Consider the following 23,643-nt stretch of genomic DNA (forward strand, 5'->3'; position numbering starts at 1 on the left):
ATGTCACTGATAAAGTGTCAGACATGTGAGCAAGGCCATCCTGAAGATGCCAGCCCTGACCGCCACCTGACTACAGCTATGTGAGACACACAAATGAGACCAGCAGAACTGAACAGCACAGCACCCACCAGTCAATCCACACAATCATGAGAAATTAAAAAAAAAAAAAAGATTGTTGTTTTAAGCCACTACATTTTGGAGTGGTTTTTATTAAGCAGCAATAGATAACAAAAACACTACTAATGTTAATAATGTTAAAGGTTATGGTTGGTTTGGAGTCCTATTAGATAATATTAGGTCAAGAGGCCCAAACATATCAGAATCCTACCTTAGACTACAGCCATTACCTCCTCCTTCACCCTCACCAAGGTCTAGAGGGAGAAATCTACACACATGAGACAGTGGAGAAGGTAAATTAAAACCACCACCACCAGGGCAGCCAGAACCCTGCTTAGTCAAAATAGACACCAGGCTAGGCATGGTGGCTCACGCCTGTAATCCCAACACTTTGGGAGGCCAAGGCGGGCAGATCACCTGAGGTCAGAGTTCGAGACCAGCCTGGCTAACATGGTGAGACCCCATCTCTACTAAAAATACAAAAATTAGCTGGGCTTTGTGGCAGGAGCCTGTAATCCCAGCTATTCGTGAGCCTGAGGCACAAGAATTGCTTGAACCTGGGAGGCGGAGGCTGCAGTGAGCCAAGATAGCACCACTGTACTTCAGCCTGGGCAGAGCAAGACTCCATCTCAAGAAAAAAAAAAGAAGAAAAAAAAAAAAAAAGGACACCCACTGAAACAGGCTGCACCTTCACAGTATGACTATCCACCTGGCTATTCCCTCTCTCGAAGCCTGAGAACAGGCCTACGTTAGAGTGTCACTGCAGTATCATGGGGAAGAAGGAAGAAGAGGCCCAAAGGGAGCCACACCCACGTGCAAGACCTAAGCACATCCTGCATGATGCTGAACACTGGGAAAAAATAGCCCAGTTAATGTCTTAGAATCTGACCAATCAGATTAGCCACTTCTCTCATGGAGAGGAGGGAGAACAAGAGGAAGATAAGGAAGAAACTGAAAGTGTCCCCTTTCCTAGACCCTGTACACATTGTCTTTTTTAATCCTCATGATAAATCCAAAAGGTAGATATTTTTCTTACCCTAGTATCCATGAGAAGATTAAATATTAGAGAGATTGAGTAACTTTTTCAAGGTTACATAGTAAGTATTTGGAATCACAGGGGTGGGTGGGGGGAGTTACCTGGCAAAAATGAGAAGAGATGCCTTTGGAGCATGGCACATTGTAAATTCACTCACATTGTTCCCTCAGTTGTTTTTTTTGTTAAAGTAAAAAACCAAATCAAATGAAAATGCTGTAGGGCCAGGCGCGGTGGCTCATGCCTGTAATCCCAGCACTTTGGGAGGCCGAGGCGGGCAGATCACCTGATGTCAGGAGTTCGAGACCAGCCTGACCAACATGGAGAAACCCCATCTCTACTAAAAATACAAAAAAAAATTAGCCACGCATGGTGGCGCATGCCTGAAATCCCAGCTACTCGGGAGGCTGAGGCAGGAGAATCACTTGAACCCAGGAGGCAAAGGCTATAGTGAGCTGAGATCGCGCCATTGCAGTCCAGCCTGGGCAACAAGAGCAAAACTCCACCTCAAACAAAAAAAAAGAAAGTGCTGTACCATTAGAGGCACCCAAGGAGAGATGGCCCAAAGTCAGTCTTTTTTGTGGCTTGATTGTAGAACAGGTGGAGGGAAAGTATCTCTTTCCACTTCAGCAGAGAAGTGGCTGCACGCCGGATGTGACTGGTGATAAGAGTCAGGAAGTAGCCACTCAGAAGTGCACAAGAGGCTTCCCCTACCTCCGTATATCCTTGAGAGATACAGAAGGGACCTGTGGTGTTAATGACCTCCTTGTAAGGGCTGCTATGGTCCGTAGTATCCAATTGTACTGCCACACTAGACTGGCCTGGAGAAACGTGTGTTACCCAAACATTACATCTCTGACGAAAAACTATATTTGTTCCACCCCCACATTCTCCACTCAAGTTCCCAGAAGTTTGCAATTATCCTCAAAAGAAGTTTCCAGACAAGGCTTACTCAGCTTTGGTTTTCAGTGGGATGAGATTGTTTTGTTTTGTTTTTTCATTTCTTTAAACTTGGCTGACCATTGCCATTCCACCCCCAGATGGTGCGTACAGGCCAGTCATGAACCACAAACCTGTTTCCATTCACTCTTCACCTGCTTGTTCTTTTTGCTCCTCTCCCTGGATCTGTGGCTCTACAATCCAGCTGGATCTATACATCTCCCTCTTTTGTTCCTGTCACCCTCACTACATAACCTGTTGGACCTCTCTTGAGGCCTCTTGGACTTTGATCCTTGCCCAGTTTTCAGCTATACTAACTCCTCTGGCTTGGTATCCCATATTGACTAGCTGAAGTTCTCCATACTAAGTTCCAGTATTGCAGAATTGCACCAGCCAACTGGACCTGGGTGGCATGTAATGTCTAAGCCCTATGCATTGGGAAAGAAACTCTATCTGGAAAAAACAATGGCAGGGATGAAAGAAGAGTTGCCTTTTTTTTTTTTTTTTTTCCCAAGACGGAGTTTCGCTCTTGTTGTCCAGGCTGGAGTGCAATAGCGAGACCTTGGCTCATTGCAACCTCCGCTTCCTGAGTTTAAGCAATTCTCCCTCCTCAGCCTCCTGAGTAGCTGGGATTACAGGCATGTGCCAGCACACCTGGCTAATTTTGTATTTTTAGTAGAGACAGGGTTTCACCATGTTGGTCAGGGTAGTCTCGAGCTCCTGACCTTAGGTGATCCGCCCACTTCGACCTCCCAAAGTGTTGGGATTACAGGCGTGAGCCACCACGCCTGGCCAAGAGTTGCTTTTAAACTGTACTTGCTGGCACTACCAGCAAAATTTTTACCTGCCCGCCTCTGTACTCCTTTCCTCTGACTCCAGGAGATTTGGAAGTATAAGAAAATCTCCTTGGTTACAACAACTTTGGAACACTGTTTGGCAGTATCTACTAAAACTGAACATATGCATATACTTTTACCCAACAATTCTACTCCTAGATACATACCCAACAGAAATGCGCACATATGTTCATCAAAAGACATGCACAAGAATGTTCATAGAAGGATTACTCATAATAGCTAAAAACTGGAATCTCCAAATGTCCAACAGCAGTAGAATGGATTAAAAATAGCATATTCATACAATAGACTATATAGTAATGAAAAAGAATGAACTGTGTTATACACAACCTGGATGAATCTTACAAACACAATACTCAACAAAAAAAGCCACACAAAAAAGCATGCATAATATACATTCCACTTGTATGAAATCTAAAACGGACAAAATGAATCAATGTTATTACAAGTCAGAATAGTGGTTATCATACGGGGAGTAGTAATCAGGTGGGGGCATCAGACGATTGGGTGCTGGTAATGTTGTGTTTCTTGATCTGGGTACTGATCAGTGCATTCACTTTGCAAAAATTCATCCAGCTGTATACTTGCAATTCATGTACTTTTCTAAATATGGATATACATGAATAAAGTGAATGACAGAAAGAAAAATGTCCTTGCTTTCTCCTGAAAATGTAGCTATAAAGGATACCCAAGGTTAGTGACTGAGTAAATGAATTTTCTTGTTTCCCATTTGTCATTCGGGAAAACCTAGCAATGTGTGATTCTTCTGCTGTAATGGATACCTGTCCCCTGTACAAGTGGACATCATGATATTTGGTGGGACATGACCAGTGGGATGGTTCACAGCCAACATTATACGGCTCTCCAACTCTTGGTTCTCAGGTGGACCGGAAGGAACATCACTGTGGGCCTAGCTCTGAGAAGGATCTGGAGGGTGTCCTAAGATGAGTTAACCAGATTGGCTGGATGAGACAGCTTGCAGGCTGCAGAGCATAGGGCCACAGAAAATTTAAAGGACACTGTCAAGGTCTGAAGATGGAATAGAAGAACAGGGAGAGTATCTTAGAGAACTACTTCACCAAAAGGGTTAGGCAGAACAGCAGAAGATAGGTACATGACAACAGGATGGAAATGGAGGCCATTGGGACAGAGTGAGTGGTTTTGGAAGAAAATGGAGCCTGGGAATGAACAATCACAGGCTTTCTATAGGGCTTTTTTTTTTTTTTTAGCCTCTATGGAATGGGCAAGAGCTATAAAAGTTCTGAGCTGCTATAGACAAAAGTTCTGTACTGTTTCCACTACTCTCCTTTCTGGGCTGTTTGTTTTGGTGACATTCTCCATTCACATTTTACCTCCAGACTCTCCTTCCAGCTTCTAGAATTTTGTTTCCTTGAATATTTTTCAGCTCTCTGGCTTCTACAGTTTGGGCCTCCTATTGGGGTGAAAAATTTTATACTTTAGCCAACGACATCCCAGCCCCAACCCATGACTCCCAACGCCTTATAGGTTAACTATATTCCTCTCCTTCAGTCACCGTCACCCCACCAGGATGGGGATCCTGGATTTAAAACAACAACAACAACAACAACAACAACAACAACAACAACAACAACAACAACAACAGCAACAGCAGCAGCAGCAGCAGCAGCAGCTGGAAACAAGCAAGCCTATTGCTTCAGAATTCAAGATCATTTCTTTGCTGCTGAAGCCCCTGTACACCTTCTCTGACACTCCATCCCTGCTCTAGTCTGGTCCCTTTTGGACTATGTTATTGTACTTGGCAAATCCATGCAAGTTGGCTTGGGAATCTTTTTTTTCTTTTTCTTTTTCTTTTTTTTTTGAGACAGTATTTTGCTCTTGTTGCCCAGGCTGGAGTGCAATGGCACGATCTTGGCTCACCGCAACCTCCTCCTCCCGGGTTCAAGCGACTCTCCTGCCTCAGCCTCCTGACTAGCTGGGACTACAGGTATCCGCCACCATGCCCGGCTAATTTTGTATTTTTAGTAGTGACGGGGTTTCTCCATGTTGGTCAGGCTGGTCTCGAACTCCCGATCTCAGGTGATCTGCCCGCCTCAGCCTCCCAAAGTGCTGGGATTACAGGCATGAGCCATTGCGCCCGGCCAGCTTGGGAGTCTTATAAAGAGATCCCTAGTATGTCTTCCATGTTGGGAATTCCTGCAGGCTTTAGTTTTTTCTTTAGCCTTTGTTTCTAATCCTGTTGTTTTTCCATATATGTTGGTTCTATACTTTGGCACCCCTCTAGGACAGTAAGGACAACAGGCACCCTACCCTGGTTGCTCTAGGATGCCACCCTACTTGGCCATCATTATTTCATTTTATACCATCAGGAGAGGATAATCAGAATTCCTTTGTTTCTATGCTCTTTCTTGCTGCTTACCTGGCTATTTGATATTCTCTTTCTAAAATGTTGCAAACAGATCTTAGTCAACAGCAGCAATAAAGGGTGGTGGAAGTCTGCATTTTGGAAACCAACAAAATGGAGTTGAAATCCTGCATCTATCTACCACCTATTAGCTAGGAGACTTTGTGCAAGTTACTTAACCTTTCTAAGCCTTAGTTTCCTCATCTGTAAAACAGGGATCAAGTCTTGAAGGGTTGTTGAGAGGTTTATGTAATATTATGTGAAGATAACATCTGGCCCATATGAGCGACTTAACAAATGCTGGCTGTTATTGTTGGGCTCTTTGTTATAAGAACAGTCATTATCTACCTTCCCAGTTACTGAATGGTGTTAAGGAGTCCAGCTGATCTAAAAAAAAAAAATGAATGCATTTGCTGAGAAGTACATAAATGAATCCCTCTTTATGAGTGTCAGCCAAGAGAAGCATAAATAGCAAACTCTGCAAAGAAGCACATTCTGATGTACAGAAGAATGCAATTCAAGAATACAAATTAGGCCGGGCACGGTGGCTCATGCCTATAATTCCAGCACTTTGGGAGGCCGAGGCGGGTAGATCACCTGAGGTCAGGAGTTTGAGACCAGCCTGACCAAAATAGAGAAACCCCGTCTCTACTACAAATACAAAATTAGCTGGGCATGGTGGTGCATGCCTATAATCCCAGCTACTTGAGAGGCTGAGACAGGGGAATTGCTTGAACCAGAGAGGTGGGGGTTGTGGTGAGTCGAGATCGTGCCATTGCACTCTAGCCTGGGCAACAAGAGTGAAACTTCTTCTCAAAAAAAAAAAAAAAAGAAAACAAATTTAACACCAAAATTGCATTTCACAATAAAAGGCATAAATATTAAGAAATTGAAATAATAAAAAGAAAGTCACAGTCCTAGAGTATTGCTGGTCTCAATAAACAGCTTTGGATTGTAGTAGGCCCTAAGAGAAGCTAGTTCCAAGTAGTATATGTTGGATCTGCCTATATAGAATTCTAGAAGGAGATGGTAGTTATGTTGAATGTGGCAGCAGGCTGAGGGTCTGAGAGCACAAGGCCTCAAAAAGAAACGCAAGGGTTTAAGCAGCAATAACACAAAGGCCAATTAATCAACAGAAAGCAGGAGTAAATAAATATCAGAGGGCAGAACAAGATAGTGTGACCAAAGTACATGCAAACAGTCTGCAGGGAGCAGAGCTATTGATCCGTCAAAGAGCTGGCCTCAGAGAGGGTCACAGAAAATGTGGAAGGAGAGGTAGAATTGGAGGGAGAGCAGCAAGGTACCCAGAGCCAGGAGAGGAGAGCTCGCAGTGCAGAAGCAATATCCTCTCTCAGCTTCAATAGCTATTTATTTCTCTCACTTGGTAAGAATGCATCTGTAGCGAGCCCGGTCTATAATCTTGCAGGCAATAGTAATTGGATGGATAGGAGTGGGGCTGAGACATTGCAAGGGTCTCAGGAAAAATATTTCAGGACAGTCTTCACAGGCTTCTTGGATCCAGGTTTACCTGTGTGTCGTTGATAGAAAGAGAGGACTTGATCGGAGCATGGATCTGATGAGTAAATCCCCCATGGGCAGTCCTCAGGTCCATAGCCTTCCCAGTTAATAAAACAGTAGGATTATCCATGGTCACTTTCTGAAAAAATTATGTGGTGTATCTAGCAGTCTTCCTGGTTATAGTCCAAACAGGGAAATAGAGGAAATATTCTGTGCTGGGGTCAAGTTTTCCTTTTAGATGTGCAATGCCAAATGTATATTTTTAAATTTACTTTTGAGACAGGGTCTCCCTCTGTCACCCAGGCTGGAGGTCAGTGGCACGATCTCAGCTCACTGCAGCCTTGGCCTCCCCGGCTCAATCCATCCTCCCACCTCAGCCTCCCGAGTAGCTGGAACCACAGGCGCACACCACCACGCTAGACTAACTTTTTGTATTTTTTGGAAGAGACGGGTTTTTGCCATGTTACCCAGGCCGATCTCAAACTCCTGGGCTCAGATGATCCACCAGCCTTGGCCTCCTAAAGTGCTGGAATTACAGGCACGAGCCACTATGCCCGGACTTGTACAAATTATTTAACCAGTCTGAGTCTTGGTTTCCTCACTAGAAAAATGGAGATAATATCTATTGGAAAGAGTTGTTATGAAGGTTAAATGAGATACATCTCACCATGCCTGACACATTGAAGCTAAGAACACTCAGTAAGTGGTCTTTCTATTTTCTTTCTGCTGATCCTTGATTGAAAGAGCTGTATCTTGGTTGGGCGCAGTGGCTCACACTAATCCCAGCACTTTGGGAGTGAGGCTGAGGTGGGCAGACCACCTGAGGTCAGGAGTTGAAGACCAGCCTGGCCAATTTGGCGAAACCACTTCTCTACTAAAAATACACAAAATTAGCCAGGAATGGTGGCGTGGACTTGTAGTCCCAGCTACTCGGGAGGCTGAGGCAGGAAAATCTCTTGAACCTGGGAGGCAGAGGTTGCAGTGAGCCGCAATCACACCACCGCACTTCAGCCTGGGCGACAGAGTGACACTCCGTCTCAAAAAAAAAAAAAAAGAAAAAAAGAAAGAGCTGTATCTTATTTCTTATTGTGAGGTTCCCTCCATCTAGCAACCTACTTGGACTTTTTAGACACACTTGGCTGCTATCTTGATCCTAGGTGCTCTCTTAAGAACATAGAGAAATTTGCAATTATGGTATGGTAGAAAGAGTAATTGCTCCCTCAAAACAGCCACGATCTAATCTCTGGAGTCTGTGAATATATTACCTTACTTGGCAAAAGGGACTTTGCAGATGTGGTTAGGGTTAAGGACCTTGACATGGGGTTTTCTGGGTGGGCCCAACCTAACCAATGAGTCCTGAAAAGCACTGAACCTTTCCCAGCTGAGGTCAGAGGGAGATGTGACTGGAGAAGGGTCAAAGAGATGTGTATGTGAAAAGGACTCACTGCTGCTGGCTTTGAAAACAGAAAGGAACCATGAGCCAAGCAATGAAAATATCCTCTAGGAGCTAGAAAAGGCTAGGAACCGACCGGGTTTGGTGGCTCGTGCCTGAAATCTCAGTGCTGTGGGAGGATTGCTTGAGCCCAGGAGCTCAAGACCAGCCTGGGCAACATAGGAAGACCCTGTCTCTGTAAAAATAAGCATGGTGTGCCTGTAGTCCTAGCTGCTCGGGAGGCTGAGGGGGAGAATTGCTTGAGCCCGGGAATTCCAGGTTGCAGTGAGCTATGATTGTGCCGCTGCACTTCAGCAAGAAACCCCATTTCTTCAAAAAATAAAGAAGTCGGCGGGGCACAATGGCTCACGCCTGTAATTCCAGCACTTTGGGGGGCCAAGACGGGTGGATCACCTGAGGTCAGGAGTTCTAGACTAGCCTGGCCAACATGGTGAAACCCCATCTCTACTAAAAAAAAAAAAAATACAAAAATTAGCTGGGCATGGTGGCAGGCTCCTGTAATCCCAGCTACTCAGGGGGGCCGAGGCAGGAGAATCGCTTGAACCCAGGAGGCAGAGGTTGCAGTGAGCCGAGATCGCGCCATCGCACTCCAGCCTGAAGGACAAGAGTGAGACTTCATCTCAAAAAAAAAAAAAAAAAAAAAAGTCTAGGAAATAGGTTCTCTAGAGCTTCTGCAAAGGAATGAAACCTTGCTAATACCTTGATCTTAGCCCAGTGAGGTTTGTGTCGGACTTCCAACCTACAGAACACCAAGATAATATGTTTGTGTTATTTAGGCCACTAAATGTGTGACAATTTGTTTTAGCAGCAACAGAAAACTAACATATACAGGCACTGAAAAGGGCTCAAGGCCATGAGGGTAATTGACAGTATGACTAGATGATTCATAACCAAGCAATACGTGTGGATGATGATTTGATAAAAAATGATCTATCTTCCTAACTCCTCTTAAGTATTATTCCAAAATAATATTTATTTTTTATTCATGATATTCAATTTAAAAATACAGATTTGGCCAAACAAACCTATTTGCTCTTGCTCAAGAGTGATAAGAGCATTTTCTTAAAATGTGTGGTGATAAAACACGGTATGTGTGGCAGGGGTTCTGGGTTGAGCCTAAGCTGTGTCTGCACACTGAATTCAAATATGTCGGGCCATCTCATGAGCTGGCCATGATTCTAGCCACAGAAACGGATAATGTGCTTCATGGGATATATAATAATTGGATTCCTCAGGGCTCATGTGCTGTGCCTAGGGGTGCCTAAAACTGAGACTCCCAGGAAATGGCAATTCATTCAAGTCACCTTTAGTAATAAATGGTTGATTGTAAAGGTACATATTCATGGAAACCCAGAAAAGGCTGAGCAATCAGGGTCAGGAAGAAAGGGCTAAGAAGGTGGCTATCAATTCAAGGCAGTTCCAAGACCTTAGCTGTGGGATTTTGTGAATCTTTACTCTTATGTGACTCAGACACTCCCTTTGTGTCTGCCACACTCTGTGCTCACAACAGACTGGCGTTCATACCATCTCATCTGTGTCTTTTCTGCATCATAGGTTCTGCTTACTCATAACTAGGCTTACTCATAACCTGACTTTAGCCAAACCTTTGATTCATTCAAGTCCTCTCTTGACTTCCCCAGCTTCTCTTGACCCCATAGCCTTTCAACTTTATTTATGCATTTATTTGTTAATTTGAAAATATGCAGCACCTATAATGCGCCCCCATGCACTTGATTATCTAGTCAGAGAGGCAACAATCAAATAATTACAAAAGTGTTGCAGGTACATTCTGGGGTACTCAGCCCATTTGTTTAAACAAAGCCCTAGGATGTGCTGCTGCATGCTCTGTGAACTCGCTGCCTTCAGGAGCAGCAGCAATGAACTGGCCATCCTGTTTAATACCACATGACCTTTCCCTCCCCGCAAAGTCCAGATACAGCTAATGAAACTACAGATTGGCATTTGACCAAGGACAATTAATACATTGGCTGGCCAGCAACCAGCAGTTTAATTCAAATTAATAAGCTTCCCTTAGAAGGAAAAAATTACAGCATAACAGACATTATACAGAATGGACCTGTTTATCACAGGGGGATAAATTTTATATTCCAGAGCCATAATCTAAATGTAGAAGGAATTCATCCATGGAGAACTTTCTCGTTGTGAAAGAGAAAGTTAGAGGGCACTTGTTTGATTCAGGAACTTGAAGCAGGGAGAAGGGCAGAGAGCAGGGTTGGTTTTGCGTAGAGCACAGGGCTGTGTTTATCACTCAAATGATGGCCAGAGTGAGGCTTAGGGAAACTGTGCCACTTTCTTTGCAGGAAAGTATCATAGCTCTAGTTAGGATTAAATCAGTTATAGTTTTCATGCAGTTTGCTTCTCAGGGATTCTCTGGGACAGTCCTTGGTCTGGGCCCAAGTGCATATGTTTCAACACAGCACTGACTCTTATGCCAGACTCCAGGTTGTCATGTTTATCTTAAGCAATTTTCTTTACAAAAAAATTGAATTAGGCTGGGTGCGGTGGCTCACACCTGTAATCCCAGCACTTTGGGAGGCCGAGGCAGGTGGATCACCTGAGGTCAGGAGTTCAAGACCAGCCTGACCAATATGAGGAAACCCTGTCTCTACTAAAACTACAAAAATTAGCTGGACATGGTGGCATGTGCCTGTAATCCCAGGTACTCAGGAGGCTAAGGCAAGAGAATCGCTTGAACCTGGGAGGCGGAGGTTGCAGTGAGCCAAGAGCGCACCATTGCACTCCAGCCTCGGCAACAAGGGCAAAACTCTGTCTCAAAAAAAAAAAAAAGAAAGAAAAAAGAAAAAAATTGAATTTAATTAACTTTTTTTTTTTTTTTTTGAGACAGGATCTCCCTCTGTCGCCCAGGCTGGAGTGCAGTGGCATGATCATAACTCACTGTAATCTCCACCTCCTGGACCCAAGCAATCCTCCCACCTCGGCCTCTCAAGTAGCTAGGACTACAGGTACAGGCCACCATGCCAGGTTAAGCCTTAGGCAGTTCTCAACCAAGAATTTTAGAGATGCCATGGTATTTTAGACAAGCCATACAAAGGCATCAAGGCACAACTACAGCACATGACCTTGAGTTCTCCTTCTGGAACCCACAGTTAGGAGTTTATGTAGAGAAGGTCAGATTCAAAGGCAGCCCCTTACACTGTTGATTGTGGGTTGGCAACAAAGTTGGCATGGCTCAGTTAGCTATAGGTTCTGTGTCATGTCACTGCCGTGGCTGGAAAGAAGGTGAGGCTCCAGGAGTGTTGAATAGTAACAGCATTTTCTTTCTTTTCTTTTCTTTTCTTTTTTTCTTTTTTTGAGACGGAGTTTCATTCTTGTTGCCCAGGCTGGAGTGCAAGGGTGCGATCTCAGCTCACTGCAACCTCCAGCTCCCAGGTTCAAGGAATTCTCCTGCCTCAGCCTCCCAAGTAGCTGGGATTACAGGTATGTGCCTCCACACCTGGCTAATTTTTTTGTATTTTTAGTAGAGACGGGGTTTCACCATGTTGGCCGGCTGGTTTCGAACTCCTGACCTCAGGTGATCCACCCGCCTTGGCCTCCCAAAGTGCTGGGATTATAGGCATGAACCACCGCGCCCGGCCACAGTAACAGCATTTTCTAAGAGGCAGATTGACTAAAGGGCTGGCAGCTCCTGGGAGTTTGTGTACTCTGCTTTTGGGAATAAAACGTTGGCACGTTTGTTCTGTTGTCCGAAGATAGCCTTCATTTTGAAATAGAAACACACAGAGAACTAAGTTTCCTCTGAGACCATCAGGTGGTGTGTCCCAAAGTTGACTTGGAAAGAAGTACTTGGAAAGAAATACAACAAAGTTGCTTGTGGTTATTGTGGTTTATGCAGACCCAAGTCACAGTCCTGGAACGCCGAAGCAGGAATCCAGAACTACAGATCTGCCAAGAACAGAACATGGACCAGCAAATTGGATGTATTATTCTTCATTATGAGAGCCCAGGGGTTGAGGAAAGACAAGCATGAAAGATATTTCAGTGTCTGGAAGACCTCTAGCTGCTAGAGACCATCCCCTCTTCGTAGGATCCTTAGAGGCTGTCTGGTTCAGCTTTCTCGTGTTACTGGTATAATAAATACCAAGTCCCAGAGAAACTAGCAAACCTTGCCTACTTCAATTAATGGTTGAAACATGAATAAGACTCGTGGGACAACCTCCTTTTTAAATGAGATCTGGCAGGAAATGATCATGGTCAGAGCTGAAATGTCTTTTGTGTGAGCATCACATTTACACACATGCTGAGAATCCATGTGTTCAACAGGTCGCCAGCATGTAGCGAGGGTGTTGATAAAGTCCCAGGTCCTCGGTAATGACTGGTGAATGGTGTCATTTAATCATGGAATTAGGCAAGCCAGAAGCCCCAGTGGCCCTTGATCCCTGCCCAAATCCAGTCTATCACCAAGTCTTGTCAATACTGCCTCTATCTACTTCTTTTTCTTCAGAACTGGGCTCACTATCATCTTCTCTTGCCTGGGCTTCTGGGACAGTGTTCTAATGGTCTGCCCACGTTTCCACTGCCTGCAATTTACTTTTCTCACAGCAGCTGATGGTCTTCCCTCTACAGCCTTATTTATTTATTTATTTATTTATTTATTTATTTATTTTATTTTTTTGAGATGGAATCTCGCTCTGTTGCCCAGGCTGGAGTGCAGTGGCGCGATCTCGGCTCACTGCAAGCTCTGCCTCCCAGGTTCACACCATTCTCCTGCCTCAACTTTCCGAGTAGCTGGGACTACAGGCGCCCGCCACCGCGCCCGGCTAATTTTTTTGTATTTGTAGTAGAGATGGGTTTCACCGTGTTATCGAGGATGGTCTCGATCTCCTGACCTGGTGATCTGCCTGCCTCGGCCTCCCAAAGTGCCGGGATTATAGGCATGAGCTACCGCGCCCGGCCTATTTTTTAATTGTTAATTAATGAACTTTATTTTTAGAGCAGTTTCATAGGTTTACAGAAAACTGAGCACATAGTACAGGGAGTTCCTTTATACCCACTTTCTATGCCACTCACAGTTCCCCCTATTATTAGCATCTTGAATTAGTGTGGTACATTTCTTACAACTGATAAACCAATATTGATACTTATTATTAACCGAAGACTGTTATTATGAACCAAAGCTTACATTATGGTTTAGTCTCCTGTTGTATAATAAATGTATGACATGTATCCACCATTGCAGTATCATACAGGATAGTTTCGCTGCTCTAAAAATCCCTCATACTTCACATCCCTTACCAGTGATTGTTTCAAAAGTGGATCCTGTGGCCAGGTGCGGTGGCTCATGCCTATAATCCCAGCACTTTGGGAGGCCAAGGCAGAAAGATCACTTGAGGGAAGTTTGGGCAGTATAGCAAGACCCCATCTCTACAAAAAATTAAAGAATTAACCAGGTGTGGTGGTGTGCACCTGTAGTCCCAGCTACTCAGGAGGCTGAGGTGGGAGGATTGCTTGAGCCTAGGAGTTCGAGGCTGCGGTGAGCCATGATTGCACCACTGCACTCCAGCCTGGACAACAGAATGGGACTCCATCTCAAAAAAAAAAAAAAATCAAAATGCAGATCTTTATTACAGCAAAACATACCTCCAAAACTGCAGATCTTCTGTCTCTCCCCTCACTCAGCCTCACCTTGTTCCACTATCTAGCATTCTGTTTCCAACCATACAGGTCTTTTTGTTTCAATCCCTCAAGCCACACTCAATTCTGTCTCAGAGTTTTGCTCATGTTGTTTTTTTCTTCATGAAATGTCCCATTCTACCTCCCGGCCCCAACTCCAGGTCTTATCACAGCTGCCTCCTTCCTAAACTGTGAGCTCCTCACTGGCAAAGCTGTGTTATTGTACCCATGGTACCCAGCACCTAGTGGATGTGTAATAAATGTTTGCTGAATAATATTAATAATTAAATTATTAGATGAAGAGAACAACAGCACAGAGTTTCACTTGATTGTGAGGAGCTTGGGAAGGGTACTGAAAGTTTGCAATGACGGCTAGGGGATGAAAGGGAAGGAAATGCTGATAGGAAAAATGCCTATTCAATAGGCTGAGAACACAGCTAAAAATCTGTAGAGGCGGCCAGGCACATTGCTCAGGCCTGTAGTCTCAGCACTTTGGGAAGCCAAGGGGAAAGGATTGCTTGATCCCAGGAGTTTGAGACCAGCCTGGACAACATGACAAGACTCTGTCTCTATAAAAAGAAAAAAGAAAAAAATTTAATTAGCTATGCATGGTGGTGTGCCCCTGTAATCCCAGCTACTTGGGAAGCTGAGGCAGAAGGATGCTTGAGTCCATGAGTTTGAGGCTACAGTGAGCCATGATCATGCCACTGCACCCCAGCATGGGTAAAAGAGTAAAAGTCTGTCTCAAAAAAGAAAAGAAAATTTGTAGAGGCCTCAACCCATCAGATGGTGTCAGGGGAGAGCGCTGGATGAATAGTTACAGTGATAAAGAGTTTAAGATTTGCAGGGTGGAACTGTTCTGGTAGTGACAAAGTACAGGGTGTGGCCATAGGAGTCCACTGAAGAGAACTGGAAGTGAAGACGCTGAGTATGAAAGGTCAGGAAACTAAGAAGCTGGGTCATTGAGTGGGTGGCCTACAAAGTCAGCAAAATCTCCCTTCCGCCCAGGAAGAAGAAGTGAGACAGGTATTTAAGAAATATGGCTGATGGATGACAGAGATGAAAGGAGAGAAGATGACAAGTTGGATGTCATGGACTTCATTGGGGCAGAGGTTTTTCATAGGGAAGAAATTGTTAGAAGGGTCTTAGGGAACTGGAAGAATGTTGTTGCTAATGCCTCCCTGTATTGGGGGCATGAAAGAATAAATAGCTTCTACTCGAAAGAAGTACAGGGGAAGTGGTAACCTCAGGGGAAAGCCAGGTTTCAGTTCAGACTAGAAGGTGAGGGAGTTTGCAAGGTGTCTGGTTGCACATAACAGAAATCAGCTCCAGCTATCTGTGGCCAGTAGTGAGTGACGGGTTGAGGGAGTTGGGTATCTTGGACAGTTGCACAAGATGGTAGCCACAGGCCTATCATTATGGGTGAGAAGATGCTATGATGGTCTTGATGAGCTGGGAAGACACTCCAAAAAGGTGTCCACTTTAGATAGTTCTGTGAAGAAGTTAAGGAAGTAGGAGAATTCACCAACAGACAGGGGTTCCATAGGACACAAATATTAATGGAATGTCTGGGGAAGTAGAGAGAAACAGAAGTACAGAGAAATATGGGGATTAGAATGGTCTGTGGGTTCCAAGTGGTGGTATCAGGAAGGTGGTATCTAGAATGGTAGGTACAGGAGGACCTACAAGCACATGGTGACATTTGTCGTGTCTGTCTAGCCCCTATTCTATTCCAAATATCTGTCTGCTCCCTAATTCGTCTTCATCCATTGAATTAGAGTTTCTTTCCTTTGTGTGTGTGTGGGTGTGGGTGGGTGGGGGGACAGAGTCTTGCCCTGTTGCCCAGGCTGGAGTGCAGTGATGCAATCATAGCTCAGTGCAGCCTTGAACTCCTGAGCTCAAGCAATCCTCCCACCTCACACTCCTGAGTAGCTGGATATACAGGGGCACCACCACACATGACTAATTTTTTTAAAAAATTTTGTAGAGATGGGAGTCTCACTGTGTTGTCCAGGCTGGTCTGGATCTCCTGGCTTCAAGCAACCTTCCCACCTTGGCTTCCCAAAGTATTGGGATTACAGGCATGAGCCCGGCTGAATTTGAATTTCTGACTTTCTTTGCCTCATCCCCTTTCTTTGCCCCAGAACATCTCTTAGAGCTTCACTGTGCCACCACGACTTCTGCTACCTCCTTAAGAAGCTGCACCCTGGATTATTTCTTAAACACCCACTGTGCGGGTTGGATGCTGACCCAGCCTGCTCTACTGAGCCCTGTGAAGCCCCCACCATCTTCTAACTTACCATATTATATTGTAATATTTTTGTGTCTCTCTTGTGTTCTAATCTATGAGTTTCTTCAAGAGCAGACATTATTTCTTGTTCTTATTTACAGTCCTCCCCTGTAATGTCTAGCACATTGCTTGTGACCCAGGCAGGGATGGACTTGTCGAATGACTGACTGAATGACTGAGTGAGTGAATGGACTTTGATCTCTTATTGTCCTGTTCCTGTAGTCTAGAAATGTTAGACTCAGAGGTACCCTCTCTGGCAAGACTTTCCCTTTCTTGCCCACCCTTTTATCTGATTTCCTGGTTTTGATTTCATGCTTGCCAGACATAGACCATTTGCTGGGCTAAAGAAACCCAGCTTGAGAGATACCCTGTCCCAATTCTTCCTGGCCTGCTCCTCCCAGGATCCTCCTAGAATATGGGTCTGAGACATATTGAATGTTTTCTCTACTTCCTAAAATGACATCTCTATAATATAGGCTGAGTCCCCATCCCTGAACACTTGGGTTAGGGCCAGGATCACCTGGTCCATATTCCCCAGACTGTCTTTTCCCACCTTCAACACATCTACCATCCTAGCAGAAGGGAAGCCCAGGTTTAGTGAACAGAGTGGCTGAGAAGTTACATGGCCATGATAATGCCTGATTTCAGGAAAGGGATTACTTCTGGAATAGCAGGGAGATGACATGAGAGCAGGCACAGGCTACGGGAGCTTCAACTGTACGGGTGATATTTTATTTCTAAGATGGGTACATACTCATTCGTGATTCCTTAAATCTCTTTTTTTTTTTTTTTTGAGATGGAGTCTCACTCTGTTGTCCAGGCTGGAGTGCAATGGCGTGATCTCTGCTCATTGCAATGTCCACCTCCCGGGTTCAGGTGATTCTCCTGCCTCAGCCTCCCGAGTAGCTGGGATTACAGGTGTGCGCCACCAAGCCCAGCTAATTTTTATTTTTTTAGTAGAGATGGTGTTTTGTTATGTTGCCCAGGCTGGTCTCAAACTCCTGACCTCAAGTAATCCATCTGCCTGGGCTTCCCAAAGTGCTGGGATTACAGGCCTGAGCCACCACACCTGGCATAAATGTTTTGTAATCCTGAAACATTTCAATGACAAAGCTTAGAATGAGAGGTACTCAGCTTTTGCCTTAGCAGAATGCCTGCAGGTGGACCTGGGGATAGAGACAGTAGTGGTTAATGGACTCTAGGGGTTTAGGGGAATTAAATCAAAGTGTTCAGCAGAGAGAGGACAAAGGGGCAGTAGAGGGCTTCTGGGCTCAGGGCCAACATCTTGGACCACAAGTCTATAAGCTGAGTTTGACTGACTGTAAAAGCCTGTGAATCTATTGTATTCACTGGCAAAAATCTTCAAAATAGGCAATCCCCAGCTTATTAGTTTATTTATTGGTCTGTTGTCTGGAACTGGGAACAAGTTTTCCTATAGAAACAATATTACAAATGGTGGCTCTGCCCCAAGGCCAGCCCACAAAAGCTCACAGAACCGTAATGTACCTGAAATATTGTACTCATAATACTAAAGATCCTGACCACTATTTATAAAAGTGTTTCTGTGGGAAAGTGCATTTCGAGTTTTAATGCCGGTAACACATATTCCTCAGCCCTGTGAGTCCTCTGGACTCTTGACCTTACTCCCACTGTGCTGATTCTTATCAGAATGGCACCATAAGCGCTGGCACCATAAGCAGCAGGAAGGCAAGTTAGTTGCTTTCTGTTGCTACAGAATTCAAGCTGAAGTTTCAAGCAATTCATCTTCACTGAGCTGACCCCAACCCCTACCATGTACCCTGGCCTGTGATCTAAGTTTAGCCTTTTAAACACAACAAAGAGCCTCTTATGCAAAACATGCTTTGTGCACCCTATCCCAAGCTGATACATAAACTCTGTCACATTAGGGACTCAATTTGGATGTTTCTGGAATGCCAAAGATGAGCGGGAGTCTTCGTTTCATGAGGAAAATGGTCTGGAAAATTTTGGGACTAGTAAAATCCCTGAGACACTGGAAAGGGACAGCTTTTGAAGAGGGGCTTGTATAATCAAGCGGAGAAGTCACCTGATGTTGACTGAAAGGAGATGAAAAATGTCCCTAAGGAGGCCAGGCATGGTGGCTCACGCTTATAATCCCAGTGCTTTGGTAGGCCGAGGTGGGCGGATCACTTGAGGTCAGGAGTCACAACGCCAGGAGTTTGAGACCAGCCTGGCCAACATGGTGAAACCCCATCTCTACTAAAAATACAAAAATTAGCTGGGCATGGTGGCGACCGCTTGTAACCCCAGCTACTTGAGAGGCTGAGGCATGAGAATAGTTTGAACCCAAGAGGCAGAGGTTGCAGTGAGCCCAGATCATACCACTGCACTCTAGCCTGGGTGACGGAGCGAGACTCTGGCTCAAAAAAAAAAAAAAAAGAGTCCCTAAGTTTAGAACACTGGTGTCTTTGGCAAGGACAAGTATCTCTGAGTATGATACAGACACTCAAATACTCTCACTTAGAGAGTTCAGGTGGAGAACTGAAATCTGAAAGATCCACATGACATTCTGGGGGCCTAAAAACTATGATTTCTTCATAGACAAAAGATATTTTCTGTTGGCTATGAAGATTGTAATTGTAGGAAACTTTCTCACTATATCCAGAGCCCCAGCCTCAGTGGTAGAGGACAATGACATGTGGTGGTCCTGTTGGCCTGGAGGAGTAGCGAGGATTCAAGATTAGAGCCTGGGATAGTCACAGAGGCCGTTGAAGGACAGCATGAGTCCCTGGGACGCTCAGGACTAGATCCACTTTGGGCAGTTGGGGCTTCGAGCCCTAGTGCCACACAGGGCTTATTTTGGTAAAGCACTCTGATTGGGACAATACCTTTCCTCTATGGTGTACAGTCTTGATGGGACTAGAAATCAAACTGCCTTGTTCTTTCCTAGCCAGGGAGCGAGGTGAACAGACTGTTTCCTTAGATTTGAATCTTAGGGCTGGGCACGGTGGCTCACACCTGTAATCCTAGCACTTTGGGAGGCTAAGGCTGATGGATCACTTGAGCACAGGAGTTTGAGACCAGCCTGAGCAACATGGCGAAACCCTGGCTCTACAAAAAAAATACAAAAAAATTAGCTGGGCCTGGTGGCGTGCACCTGTAGTCCCAGCTACCTGCGGGGCTGAGGTGAGAGGATCGCTTTAGCCCAGGAGGTCAAGGTTGCAGTGAGCCGAGATCACACCACTGCACTCCACCCTGGGTGACAAAGTGAGGCGCTGTCTCAGAAAAAAAAAAAAAAGATTTGAATCTTGAATGGCACGACCTAGACACTAAAAGCTGGTTGGCACCTATTGTCCCAGCGTTGTGCCCCCAGCCACCTTAACCTCTAGAGTTGCCCGGCTTCCTGTCCTCCAAGCAGACTCTCTAGCTTTCCCATGAGTCCCATCTGCTACCTATTATCCTCCCAAAACAGTTCTCTCCTACTCAAGTCATCCAGTCTGTTTCTGTTTTGTATGATTGAAGAACTCTCACTAATACAGACTCTGATGGCAGAAGGTTGATCAAGGAAAATCTGCCAGTACAATTTGTAAAGCAACTCAAAGCCTAAATCAGCAGAAGGAATAGTTATAGCATATCATCTTCAGATACAAAAATGACAGTTCATATCTTTCAGATGTGATGAGCTCAACTTTACCTGATATGTTCACAATGTCAAGTTCAAATTTAAAAAACAAAAAACAAGCAAACAATAAAACCCTTTTGGCCAGGCACAGTGGCTAATGCCTGTAATCCCAGCACTTTGGGAGGCCGAGGCAGGCAGATAACTTGAGGCCAGGAGTTCGAGACCAGCCTGGTCAACACGGTGAAACCCCGTCTCTACTAAAAATACAACAAATTAGCGGGGCGTGGTGGTTCGTGACTGTGGTCCCGGCTGCTTGGGAGGCTGAGGCAGGAGAATTGCTTGAACCCGGGAGATGGAGGTTGCAGTGTGCTGAAATCATGCTACTGCCCTCCAGCCTGGGTGACAGAGCAAGACTCCGTCTAAAAAAATTAAAATAAAAATAAATTAGCCGGGCATGGTGGTATGTGCCTGTAGTCCTATCTACTTGGGAGGCTGAGGTGAGAGGATGGGTTGAGCCCAAGAGTTTGAAGTTACAGTGAGCTATGATCACACCACCGCAGTCCAGCCTGAACAACAGAGTGAGACCTCTGTTGTTTAGAGTGAGACCTCTGTTGTTTAGAGTTCTCTGTTGTTTAGAGTGAGACCTCTAAAAACTATTTTTTTTTTTTACCTGAGAAGGCAAAGATGGATGGGTAGAGGGAAGGTTAATATAAATATTATTCTGGGAACAAGTTACGAATTCCTAGCCCTGCATCATGCAATTTACTCTGATGACATGATAAATATGTTGGCTGTATTCAATGGTAACTATGGTTTTGTCTCATTTATTTTGGGAAATAAATATATTCATTTATATTAATAGAAAGATTTTTAGGAAAACAGGCAAATTGCAATTCCATTCCTTTGTTATCATTTAAAATAACTGAGTTAAGATTCAATGGTAGTTTAAAAATAACAATGGAGAAAAATGTGTCTGGAAATGGCCAGTTGGCCAAATGAAGTGAAGTATGTTTCAATTCAACTAGTTGGCATTTTCTTTTTTTTTTTTCTCTTTTTTTTTTTTTTTCTTCTGAGATGGAGTTTTGTTCTTGTCACCCAGGCTGGAATGCTGGAATGGCGTGATCTCAGCTCAGTGCAACGTTTTCCTCCTTGTTTCAAGCAATTCTCCTGCCTCAGCCTCCCAAGTAGCTGGGATTACAGGCCTGCACCATGATGCCCAGCTAATTTTGTAGGCATTTTCTATTTGCTCCATGATTAGCAGACCGGGTGGCGGAGCTTGTCTGAGAAAGGGCAGGCTACTTTGTCCATCAATGCCTGGTGCAAAGACATGCCATCTACTGCACCGGATGATCATCTGGGCCTCAGGCTATGGGACAGCCTGATCCTCGGCCCATGGAGCAGCCTGGTCCTTAGTCACAGGACATGTTTCCCATCCCAGGGGAGCTCAGGTTTGTGGGTTCCACTCTTGAGATCTAAACAACAATGGACTCAGGGGGCTCAGGCAGCTTTCTCTGATCCAGTTTGTCTCTCTCCCACCTGAGTTGAGGCCACTGCAGCATAGATAAAAACTAGGGACACTCAATGTTCATGCTGCCTCTCAATTCTTATCTTCCACTGGAGGCCCAGGACTCACCCTTGTCCTGGAAAAACCCCATTCCTTCTCCCCTTTGCTATGTTTCTGCCATCATCATAGCGTGTGCCTTCCCTCACCCTCACCCCCAACCAAACCCTATCTCACCCATGATCTCTGTTTCCAGAGTTCTGGCTCAGCACAAGTTGGAGCAAAGTGCTTTTAGACACAGAAGTGAAGCAGCTTCCCTGTTATGTAAATGGGATGATACAATAGATCTGGTGCCATGTGACAACCCTCCCCATATAGTCCCTTAAGAGGCAGAGGCAGAGACCTTAAGCAGCTGTCATTGACCCCCTCCTTTTCGTGACAGTTTTAGTCAGCCTCTCCACCTCCTTCTTCCCAGCCCCAGTGCCCTTTATGATAAAGAAAGGGTATGGGCCTGGGATGCGGGAGGTGGAGAGGCTGATTTAAGAGGCTTTCTGCCTCTATGGAATTACCACTTCTGAGTCCTCTATCTGAGATCTCTGTCTGCTCTGATTTCTAACTTCTAGCACAGGTCTTTACAAAATAAAAACTTCAAGGAGCCTACAACTTTATCCAGATTTGGAAGGAAAATGAGAGAAAAACTGCCTTATAGATTGGTAAGTCTAAATCATGGCATTGCCTTTTGCCTATGTAGAGTCTCAGTCATTTAAGGAATAGCATTGTGTGTGACTTTGGGGAGGTCATATGTACCTGCACAATCTCCTGAAATACTTTCCCAATCTGAACATAAGCCCAGGAGCCAGGTTCCTTGACCACTGGCCAAAGCGTCACTCCAAGCCAACTCCAAGAATTGGGCTAGAGAGCCCCATGGTTATCTACATCATGGCTGTAAACTTTGTACCCAGCCAGGTACAATTATTCCTGGGATTCTTACAGCCTTCTGCTTTTACTAAACCAAAATTTACCTTCTCAAAAGGAAGAAGTTTCCCTAGTTATAGAGTTAGATAAAGCACTCTAGCAGTTGAAGACTTACTTGTCTCTTTCCCAGCTTTGACTTACCTGGAAGCAAAAAGCCCTACACCATTGAAACCAACACCTTTAACAGTGCAGCAGGGTCATATGGCCCCAAGATAAGTGATCTGTGGCTCGGGCAACAGTCAGTCTCTGCAGAAGAAGCTAGGCTGGTTGATATCAACTAGCTGACATAAGAATGGGTTATCATTTACCATGGCCACCTTCGTGGTCTGGAAGCATCATCTCCAGGTATCCAGCATCCTGTAGTAATGTGTTTGGAACATTAGAGCCTGGTGCTGTTCAGACAGACCTAGATGAACACTTAAGTGTTTGGATTTTACTATCTCATAAACTTGGCAGTGAAATGGCCAGGTGACTTCTCTATTTCAAAACACTAGGGAGTAGAGGAAACATTTCTATTCTTGGAAATCCTCCTGTAGCTACAATAAATAAAAGCAAAATCCAAATGTCTGCGGTTCATAGTGCCTAGTACAGGCACCTAGCATAGAGCTAGAGTCACCCAGGAGTAAGTCGGGACACACCATGAGTCCTCTTTACCCAGACCAGTGGCTGTTTTTCCACAAGCAGGGAGCCCTGTCACAAGTACTTTGCCTTTCCATAAGAATACTGTAATTCTCACCTCATATATCTCAGAAGGAAACCCTGCTGATTTAGAGCATTAAATATAAGAAGATAACATCTTAAAATACTAGAAGAAAATATGATATTCATCTTGCTCTTAAAGAAAAACATTGTAATCATTAAGTCAATAGAAAAAAATGCCAAAATAAATAAATTCAGTTACATAAAAGAAATATATTAGCTACAGCAAGTTATCATAATAAAAATAAATGCTGGCCGGGTGTGGTGGCTCATGCCTGTAATCCCAGCACTTTGGGAGGCCAAGGCATACAGATCACTTGAGATCAGGAGTCCAAGACCAGCCTGGCCAACATGGTGAAACTCTGTCTCTACTAAAAATGCAAAAATTAGCCAGGCATGGTGGTGCACACCTATAATCCCAGCTACTAGGGAGGCTGAGGCGGGAGAATTGCTTGAACCCAGGCAGTGGAGGTTTCAGTGAGCCAAGATCACACCACTGTACTCCAACTTGGGCAACAGAGCAAAATTCCATCTGAAAAAAAAAATGCTCAGACTCTTTGAACTACTAATTTTAAGAATCTAATCAGAGGCCAGTCACAGTGGCTCACACCTGTAATCCCAGCAC

The 23,643-nt window shown here is 44.6% G+C and overlaps 2 annotated features.

The window, feature by feature from the left end:
* Nucleotides 17,069-17,674: an enhancer, noted in NCBI's record as "OCT4-NANOG hESC enhancer chr17:60178273-60178878 (GRCh37/hg19 assembly coordinates)". NCBI's record gives its function as "activates a minimal SCP1, AML or CMV promoter by ChIP-STARR-seq in primed H9 embryonic stem cells {active_cell/tissue: H9 hESC(primed)}" and the evidence as "EXISTENCE:reporter gene assay evidence [ECO:0000049][PMID:30033119]".
* Nucleotides 22,761-23,323: an enhancer, noted in NCBI's record as "NANOG hESC enhancer chr17:60183965-60184527 (GRCh37/hg19 assembly coordinates)". NCBI's record gives its function as "activates a minimal SCP1, AML or CMV promoter by ChIP-STARR-seq in naive H9 embryonic stem cells {active_cell/tissue: H9 hESC(naive)}" and the evidence as "EXISTENCE:reporter gene assay evidence [ECO:0000049][PMID:30033119]".

Source organism: Homo sapiens, chromosome 17, assembly GCF_000001405.40.
Source record: "Homo sapiens chromosome 17, GRCh38.p14 Primary Assembly".
Lineage (NCBI taxonomy): Eukaryota > Metazoa > Chordata > Mammalia > Primates > Hominidae > Homo > Homo sapiens.